This window comes from Homo sapiens, chromosome 17, assembly GCF_000001405.40.
Source record: "Homo sapiens chromosome 17, GRCh38.p14 Primary Assembly".
Classification (NCBI taxonomy): Eukaryota; Metazoa; Chordata; class Mammalia; order Primates; family Hominidae; genus Homo; species Homo sapiens.
In genome coordinates this window covers 63,087,797-63,098,296 of record NC_000017.11, presented here as the reverse complement: position 1 = coordinate 63,098,296, position 10,500 = coordinate 63,087,797, and the positions used below count along the sequence as shown (strand labels likewise).

At 36.8% G+C, this 10,500-nt stretch overlaps 1 protein-coding gene and 1 pseudogene across 20 annotated transcripts in view; one reads left to right on the top strand and one right to left on the bottom strand.

Moving 5' to 3' along the window:
• Nucleotides 1–10,500, bottom strand: part of TANC2 (tetratricopeptide repeat, ankyrin repeat and coiled-coil containing 2) — a 461,469-nt gene that overhangs the window by 329,407 nt on the left and 121,562 nt on the right. The gene's annotated exons all lie outside the window — the stretch shown is intronic.
• Nucleotides 9,385–10,233, top strand: LOC100419888 (zinc finger protein pseudogene; annotated as a pseudogene).

Sequence of the window (10,500 nt, the reverse complement as noted above, 5' to 3'; positions counted from 1 at the left end):
CTAAATATTTCCCATAAAATTAAATTAAGACAGTTTTGCATTGACAGTGCCTACTAAAAACAAACATAAATCTTTGTGGAGGAAGGTAATATCATCGTAGGTCTCAAATTATTTATATAATTGATCACATACAGCATCTAGCCCTTAATTAACAATAACAGAGATAAGATAACATGAACAAAGTAAATACAGAAGCCATATAAACCAGAAATAGTCTCATAAGAATACTGAATACAAAACAATGAGGGACAGAATTTAAAATAATATGCTAAATATGTTTAAGAAAATAAACGTTTAAAATTTTAGCAGAGGAATGAAATTATGAAATTAAAAATTTAATAAATAGATGTAAATGTAGATTAGACATCAAATCAGTAAACTGGAAGATACGTCAGAAGAAAACATTAAAATGATGAATGGAGAGTCAAAGAATGGAAATAGATTCTTAGATATGACACCAAAAGCACAAGCATTAAAGGAAAAAATCAATTGGATTTCATCAAAATTAAAAACTGTATGCAACAAAGGATACTATCAAGAGAGTGAAAAGACAATGCTCATAATGGGAGAAAATATTTCCAAATCATGTATCTGATAGAGTCTAACATCTAGAACAAGCTTATCTAGCCCGTGGGCTGCATGCGGACAAGGACAGCTTTGAATGTGGCCCAAATCAAATTTTATAAACTTTCTTAAAACATTACTTTTTTTTTTTTTTTGCAATTTTTTAAAGCTTATCAGCTATCGTTACTGTTGGTGTATTTTATGTGTGGTCCAAGACAATACTTATTCCAATGTGGCCCAGGGAAGCCAAAAGATTGGACACCCCTGATTTATTAGGTTGGTGCAAAACTAATTGCAGTTTTTTGCCATTACTTTTAATAGAAGGTATAAAGAACAACTTCAACTCAACAACAAAAAGACAAACAATCCAATTTAAAAATGGGCAAAGCTGGGTGTCTTGACTCATGCCTATAATCCCAAGACTTTGAGAGGCCAAGGCAAGTGGATCACTTGAGCCCATAAGTTTGAGACCAGCCTGGGCAACGGAGTGGGATCCCATTTCTACAAAAAATATTTTTTAAAAAACTAGCCAGGTACAGTGGCATGTACCTGTAGTCCCAGCTACTTGGGAGGCTCAAGTGGGAGGATCACTTGCGCCCAGGAGGTTGAGGCTGCAGTGAGCCATGATCACACCACTGCACTCTAGCCTGGGTGACAGAGTGAGACCATTTCTTGAAAAAGAAAAAAAAAAAAACTTCAAAGTACTTGAATAAACATTTCTCCAAAGAAGATACACAAATGGCCAACAAGAACATGTAATGTAGCTCAACAATCATTACAGAAAAACAAAGCCAAAATGAGAGACCACTTTATACCCACTAAAATGGGTATAATAAAAAAATAGGAGAACAAAAAAAAGTTGGTGGCAAAATTAAAATCTTCATACACTTCTGGTGGAAATGTAAGACGGTGGTTCCTCAAAAAGTTAAACACAGAATTACCATATAACTTAGCCATTTCACTCCTTTGTATATACCCAAAGATACGAAAACAGGTTTTCAAGCAAAAACTTGAACATGAACGTTCACAGCAGCATTATTCATACATAATAGCCAAAAAGTGGAAACAACCCAAATGCCATTAACTGGTGAACGGATAAACAAAATGTGGCATATTTATACAATGAAGTATTATCTAGCCATAAAAAGAATGAAGGTCTGATTCATGCTACAACATTCAAAAGCCTTGAAAACGTACTAAGTGGAAGAAGCCAGACACAAAAGACCACATTTGTATTATTCCACTTATATGAAATGTTCAGGAGAGGCAAATCCACAATCTGCCATGTTCTCTCCATTTCTTCAACCATGACCTTAGTTGAGGCCACTATTATCTTATCCCAAACTTCTGTTGGGAGAAATCTAGGATTTATTCTCTATCCTTGGATTTCAGGAATTTTATTAGGATTAACTTTTTTTCTTCTCATTCATCTCTGGGCCCTTTCACTTACTATGCTGACTAAATCTTCTCTTCCAACATTTCTTTTCTCTCTCTGGAATTCTGGTCAGATGAATACTGTATCTCCTAGACTTACTTTTCAAGTCTCTTTCTCTCATCCTTGATTTCCAATCTTTCATGAATATATCTGACATTGATTCATATGAAATTGCAGTATTTTACAGTTACATAAACAAAGAGGCATGCCATTAGTGTAATTCCTTAACTGAGGAATCCTTTTATTGAAAAAAATCAGCCTTAGTATTTCGAAAGCAATATATTTGATTTAGTGAAGCACCTCTTTTCACTTAAAATGTTCCAATGTTAAAAATTAGTTGATAATTTTAGAAACTAATAACACTCCTTAAGGAATAATACTGCAATTAGTCCAGTTTGGCTGTCCTACTTTACTTTTCTGCTTAAAACTATTTTCTTCCATCTTCTTTGTCCTATAAATTGTGCCTGAACTTATTGTAGCTACAGAGAAAAAACTAAAAATACATGTTTAAAGTACTGGTGAGCAGAGAATTTGATTATATACCATTTTTTCCTGGGTAAATAGCGATTTCAAAATCTCAGTGGTTTACATTGCCTGTATGCTCATGAGCCTTCAGACTGACTCTGAGTCAGCTGATCTAGGTTGGGCATGATAGGGCTAGCTAGATACCAGTACTATGGTCAGGTTCAGAACACTGCTATGTGTCTTCAATATTGGGCCCAGTCACTGAAGGCAAGTGAACAGACATAGCATGCTCTTCTTGGCAGAAAAGAGGAGTGCAGGAGGCCAAGTCAAATCAAAGGAACATACTTAAGACTTCTGCTCAAGGCTGGGCACAGTGGCCCACATTTGAAATCCCAGCACTTTGGGAGGCTGAGGCAGGAGGGTTGTTTGAAGCCAGGAGTTTGAGATCGATGTGGGCAACAATGTAAGACACTGTCTCTACAAAAACGAAAAATATTAGCTGGGCGTGGCGTACCTGTCGTCCCAGCTACTCGGAAGGCTGAAGTAGGAGGATCAATTGAGCCCAGGAGTTTGAGGCTGCAGTGAGCTACGATCATACTACTGTACTTTGGCCTGGGCAACAGAGTAAGACCCTGTCTCTACTGAAAAAAACAACAAAGAAAAACCTCTCTGCTCACTAACATTCCACTGGCCCAAGGAACTCATGGAGCCAAGAGAAGCATCAGTGGGGCAGGGACATATACTTGGCCTATACCAGTGGGAGCTTCTGCAAAGTTGCATAGCATAAGGAATACATGTATAGTTTTATAACATGAAGTTAAAAAAAAAAGGCGGGGCGGGGGAGGAATCCAATTTACCAAGCATGTAAGACAGCACCTACTGGTACTCTACATTACTCAATATTTATTTTCTACTTTTCTTTTCCTGCTTCAGTCAACCAAATTAAAAGTGACTGAGATAATATGATGGAGATGTGGCAGAATTTAAAAACTGCTAACTTGACAGAAAAAATTCAGTTATGCTGGACACCTGGTGACTAGACATTCAGAAGTTGAGGTCAGAATGCAGCAGAATCTAAAGTGTATGGACACCAAAGAAATGTTAGGAGTGACTATGATCCAACTGAAATTTCAGTTATCACGAGGTATTATACTTAACATAAATGATTATTAGATATTAAAGTTCAAGTTAACAGAGAAACTCTTCCATTGAAGACAATACATATTCTAGAGAACTGCCTTCTAGTTTTTCAAGTAATAAAAATAACCACAAATAAAAACCTAGAAATCAAAAACCTCTAGCATAATATGTTCACTTGTGATAATTCAGTGAACTGTATACATCATTGGTGAATTTTTCAGTTTACATGTCATGCTTCAATAAAAGTTTACTTTTAAAAAGTACACAGGAAAAAAATATATAGCATGGTGATAAACTGGCCCCTAAAGACAAAGCGATTTTGCATTATGTAACAGAAGCAAAGGAGTTTTGCCTAAATTATTCCAAATGTCTTTTTAACTCAGAGCTCGTATCATCACTCTGTGACTCTGTAACATCCTTACAAGTCCACACGTCAGGCAAGAAACAGGCCCCGAGAAGTTTAACAACGAGTATAGGATCATATGATCAGACAACATGATTGCCTATGTAAAAATTCTAAGGTATCTACAAAAAAGCTATAAGAAAAAATAAGTCAGTAAGGCAAATTCACAGGTTACAAAGTTAATGTACAAGAATCAAGTGTCTTTCTATATACTAGCAATGAACATTTGGAAAATTTTAAAAAACATTTAACCAATATCATTACAATAACACTACTAAAAACATAAAATATTTAGGAATACATCTGACAGAGTACATACCATGTACTCTGAAAACTACAAGAAACTGGTAAGAGAAATTAGAAACCTAAATAGAGTCAGGAGTTGTGGCATGTGCCTGTAGTCCCAGCTACTACTTGGGAGGCTGAGACAGAAGAAATGCTTGAGCTCAGGAGTTTAAGACCAGCCTGAGCAACATAGTGAGATACTGTCTCTAAAAAAATGAAAACAAAACCCAAAAATGCTAAATGGAGCAATGTACCATGTTTATGGATCTGAAGACTCCATAACACTATGTCAATTGTCTCCAAAGTGATCTACAGGTTTGAAGCAATCCCAATGGAAATATAGCAGGCAGTTAACTTTTATAGCAATCAATAAGCTAATTTTAAAATTTATACAGAAAAACAAAAGAACTAGGATAGCCACAACAATTTTGAACAAACAAAACCAAAACTGGAGTCCAAACAGTATATAATTTCAAGACCTACTATGTGGTACAGTAATCCAGAGCTTAGATGGTGTTAGAAAAACAATGGACACAAAATGAATGAAACAGTCTAGAGCATCCAGAAAAAGAACCACACATATAGCCAACTAATTTGTGACAAAGGTGAAAGGATAATTCAGTGTAGAAAGGATATTTTCAACAAATAATTTTGTTAGCTACTAGACCTCCAAATGCAAAAACACGGACCTTGAAGCATACCTCTACTCATGAAAACATCAAAGAGAAATTAGTCACAGACTGAAAATGTTAAAAAAAAAAACTATAAAACTATTAGAAGAAACTATAAAACTATAAAATTATAAACATTTTAGAAGAAAACACAGGAGAAAATCTGTGTGACCTTGGGTCAGGTAGATTTCTTACAAAGGATCCCAAAAAGATGAACCATATTAAAAAACGGATGAACTGGAATTCACAAAAATTAAAAATTTCTACTCTTCAAATGATAGTGTTACAAAATGAAAAGCAGTACCGATTGAAAGAAAATACTTGCAAAACACATATCTAATAAAGGACTAGTAGTTAGGCTGTAAGAACTCTTAACTCAGGAACAAGAATGCAAACTACCCAATTTTAAAAATGGGCAAAAGATCTGAACAGACGCTTCACTAAGTAAGAAACATGGATGATAATATAGTTTGGATATTTGCCCCGCCCCTATCTCATGTTGAACTGTAATCACCAATACTGAAGGTGGGCCTGTTGGGAGGTGTTTGGATGATGGCCGGAGGGGGATCCCTCATAGCTTGTTGCTGTCTTCGTGATAGTGAGTTCTCATGAGATATGGTCATTTAAAAGTATGTATCACCTCCCTCCACCCCTTGCTCCTGCTCCCGCCATGTGAGAAGGTGGCTTCCCCATCCACCTTCCACTATGATTGAAAGTTCCCTAAAGCTTCCCTAGAAGCCAAGCAGATGCCAGCACCATGATTCCTGTACAGCTTCCAGAATTGTGAGCCAATTAAACCTCTTTTCTTTATATACTACCCAGTCTCAGGTATTTCTTTATAGCAATGCAAGAATGGCCTAATACAGATGCTCAACATCATTAATCATTACAGTAATTCAAACTAGGAGTTACTACTACACACCTAGTAAAATGGCTAAAAAAAAAAAATACCAGCAAAACCGAGTGCTGACAAGAATGAACTACAGCTCTCATATACTGCTGGTGACAATATCAACTGGTATATATAAGTTGGGAAACAGTTTGGCAGTTTGTAAGTAAACCTACCATATGACCCAGAAATCCAGCTCCTAGGAATTTACCCAAAAGAAATGAAGATATATGTCCCTCCTCCCACACACAAATAGAAAAATTATTACTCTCCACAAACTGAAAAGTACCCAAATGTCCATCAACTGATGAATGAACAAATTGTGACATATACATGCAACAGAATCTTACTCAGCAATAAAAAGAATGAACTTCTGATGTGTGCACAAAAATTAAAAATGGGTAATATGTTCTTATACACCAATAACAGACAAACAGAGAGCCAAATCATGAGTGAACTCCCATTCACAATTGCTACAAAGAGAATAAAATACCTAGGAATCCAACTTACAAGGGATATGAAGGAGCTCTTCAAGGAGAACTACAAACCACTGCTCAACGAAATAAAAGAGGACACAAACAAATGGAAGAACATTCCATGCTCATGGATAGGAAGAATCAATATTGTGAAAATGGCCATACTGCCCAAGGTAATTTATAGATTCAATGCCATCCCCATCAAGCTACCAATGATTTTCTTCACAGAATTGGAAAAAACTACTTTAAAGTTCATATGGAACCAAAAAAGGGGCCCGCATTTCTAAGACAATCCTAAGCCAAAAGAACAAAGCTGGAGGCATCATGCTACCTGACTTCAAACTATACTACAAGGCTACAGTAACCAAAACAGCATGGTACTGGTACCAAAACAGAGGTATCGACCAATGGAACAGAACAGAGCCCTCAGAAATAATACCACACATCTACAACCATCTGATCTTTGACAAACCTGAGAAAAACAAGAAATGGGGGAAGGATTCCCTATTTAATAAATGGGGCTGGGAAAACTGGCTAGCCATATGTAGAAAGCTGAAACTGGATCCCTTCCTTTCACCTTATACAAAAATTAATTCAAGATGGATTAAAGACTTAAATGTAAGACCTAAAACCATAAAAACCCTAGAAGAAAACCTAGGCAATACCATTCAGGACACAGGCATGGTCAAGGACTTCATGTCTAAAACACCAAAAGCAATGGCAACAAAAGCCAAAATTGACAAATGAGATCTAATTAAACTAAGGAGCTTCTGCACAGCAAAAGAAACCACTATCAGAGTGAACAGGCAACCTACAGAATGGGAGAAAATTTTTGCAATCTACTCATCTGACAAAGGGCTAATATCCAGAATCTACAAAGAACTTAAACAAATTTACAAAAAAAAAAAACAAACAACCCCATCAACAAGTGGGCAAAGGATATGAACAGACACTTCTCAAAAGAAGACATTTATGCAGCCAACAGACACATGAAAAAATGTTCTTCATCACTGGTCATCAGAGAAATGCAAATCAAAACCACAATGAGATACCATCTCACACCAGTTAGAATGGCAATCATTAAAAAGTCAGGAAACAACAGGTGCTGGAGAGGATGTGGAGAAATAGGAACACTTTTACACTGTTGGTGTGACTGTAAACTAGTTCAACCACTGTGGAAGACAGTGTGGTGATTCCTCAAGGATCTAGAAGTAGAAATACCATTTGACCCAGCCATCCCATTACTGGCTATATACCCAAAGGATTATAAATCATGCTGCTATAAAGACACATGCGCACGTATGTTTATTGCAGCACTATTCACAATAGCAAAGACTTGGAACCAACCCAAATGTCCATCAATGATAGACTGGATTAAGAAAACGTGGCACATATACACCAGGGAATACTATGCAGCCATGAAAAAGGATGAGTTCGTGTCCTTTGTAGGGACATGGATGAAGCCGGAAACCATCATTCTGAGCAAACTATTGCAAGGACAGCAAATACCACACGTTCTCACTCATAGGTGGGAACTGAACAATGAGAACACATGGACACAGGAAGGGGAACATCACACACCGGGGCCTGTTGTGGGGTGGGGAAAGTGGGGAGGGATGGCACTAGGAGATGTACCTAATGTAAATGATGAGTTAATGGGTGCAGCACACCAACATGGCACACGTATACATATGTAACAAACCTGCACATTGTGCACATGTACCCTAGAACTTAAAGTACAAAAAAAAAAAAACTCAAAAAAAAAAGTCAGTAATACGGTCAAAAGACTATATACTACATGGCTTCATTTACAGAATATTCTGGGAAATACTATAGTATTAGAAAACACTTAAGTCGTTGCTAGGGATTAGGTTGAGGGAGACAACTAATTACAAGGGGGCATGAGGGAACTTTTTATGGAAATAAGCTATATTTGATTTAGTGGTATTTAACATGACTATATATGTTTTAAAAATTCATGGTATGTACACTTAAAATGGCAAATTTTACTTATATAAATTAAATAAACCTGACTTTTAAAAAACCTAATTTGTAATAACATACTCACTGTACACTTATGATTTGTGAACTTTTCTAATTGGATATTTTATCTCCAAAGTACACTTTTAAAATAACAGCACAGGTGGTAGTCTGGTCCCTAAAACGACTGTAGGCATGTTAAACATAATACACACAATAACAATGCATAATTTCTCAAAGGTCTTTCATGTATGTCTGAAACAATGGGGTTTGGCCTAAATTATTCCTAATGTTCTTTCATGCAAAGATTTATACCACTCTGAGACTGCAATTATCTCACACATTCACATACTATTAAATATTAAAAAAAATTAAGCAGAGAAAGTTTAATAACTAATTAAAGATCATACAGTCAATCAGCAACAGAAGAAAATTAGAACCCAAATCCTTACCACGGTCTACAAAGCTCTACATGATCTGGCACCCACCTACTTAATTGTCTTACCTCCTCCCCTTCCAACTTCTCTGACTTCATCCCTTCCCACTTTCCCCCTCAATTCACACAGCACTTATCATTACCTGATATGACTTTCTTCTTTTATTTCTCTCACTCCTCCAGAATGAAAGTATCTTAACAGTAGGGACTTTCTCTCGTTTGTATATCACGTAACTCAGACTGATTGAGACATGGGTATTAGGGTAGCCCCTAGCTGGGCAGAGGGGCAAAGCTGACTCAGGCCTCCAGTCTTCTGTGGAGACTCAGCTCTGGCCCTTCCATCTGCCTGGAATGCTCTGTCCCAGGGTCTTCTTTCGGTGTTTTCGTCTCACAATCTCAGCACAGGAGGTACATCTTTACTTGCAGAGGCTTTAATGCCCTGACTAGAATCTCCAGTGCAGACTTGAACAGTAGTAATAGCAGACATGAGAAAATGAACAACTTTCAGCTTTTCAATAGTATGTCTGCATCAGTGAGATGCAAACAGAGAGGACTCCTAGTGAAATAAATTCTATGAATGAAATCTATATGGAAAAGCCTTCAAAAGGAGTGCTAATGTTATTCTGCAGGAGACAGAAATCATAGACAAGAGACAAACCATGAGTGTAAAGACTCTACAAAAGCCTTCGGTAACCGTTATTCCCTTCAGAGACATGGGAGAATTCAAAATGAAAAGAAACCCTTTGAACAATTTTAGAGCAGGACAGTATTTGATCTACAGTCACCTCCAAAACTTACATGAGATCTCACACCAAAGACAAACTTTATGACTGTAATCAGTGTGTAAATTTCTTCAAAAACAGCTCTTGCTTTATAGTGCACAAGAGAATATACACTGGGCAAAAACTCAACACAAAGACTGTGGGAACCTTTAGTAGGAGCGCTGATTTTACTGTGCACTGGAGCAGATATCCATGTTGGAGAAAACTCGACAACAGCACTGACTGGGAAAAAGCAGAAACTTTCACCTTACAATGGCTATACACACATGAGAGAAACACAACGAATGCGGTGAATTCAGGAAAGTCTTGAGCAGGAACTTTAATATTACTGAACATGTTTAGACACATTCTGGGAAGAAAGGCTATAAATGCAATGACTGGGAAGGTTTTCAGAAGTTATTCAACCTATGCCTATGGAAAAAGGTGAGGACATATAAAGGAGAGAAATCATATATGTAATGAATATGTTAGAAAAGCTTCAACAGTCCTTCTTGCCTTTAAAGATATGAAAAGTCACACTGGAAAGAAACCTTATGACTATATACCACATAGGAAGGCCTTTAGCCAAAAATTTTCTCTTGTTCTACACAAGAGAATTAATACAAGGAAACAAATCATATGACTGTTTAAAAAAATCAGTAAGGACATATATTTGAAAAATTTAATTAGGTTCCAATTCCAGGAAAGATGGAGTACGCATACCCTACCTCGTCTCTCTCATTGAATACAACTATAAACCCTGGAAAGAATGCATAGAGCTTAATTCTAGTTTCCCATCTGGCATGTAAGGAGCTTAGAAGTTTTCACTTCATCTAACATGTAAAAAACTAAACACGTTGAAAAATCAACAACTCTTCTTACATTCTTTAGAGAAGGGAAGTCACAATGTAAACTGCTGTGCCAAAGTTGGAGAGAGACAGGTGACTATAGAGAATGCAGAAACGCACAAGCAGCAACCTCAGTGGGAACCAATA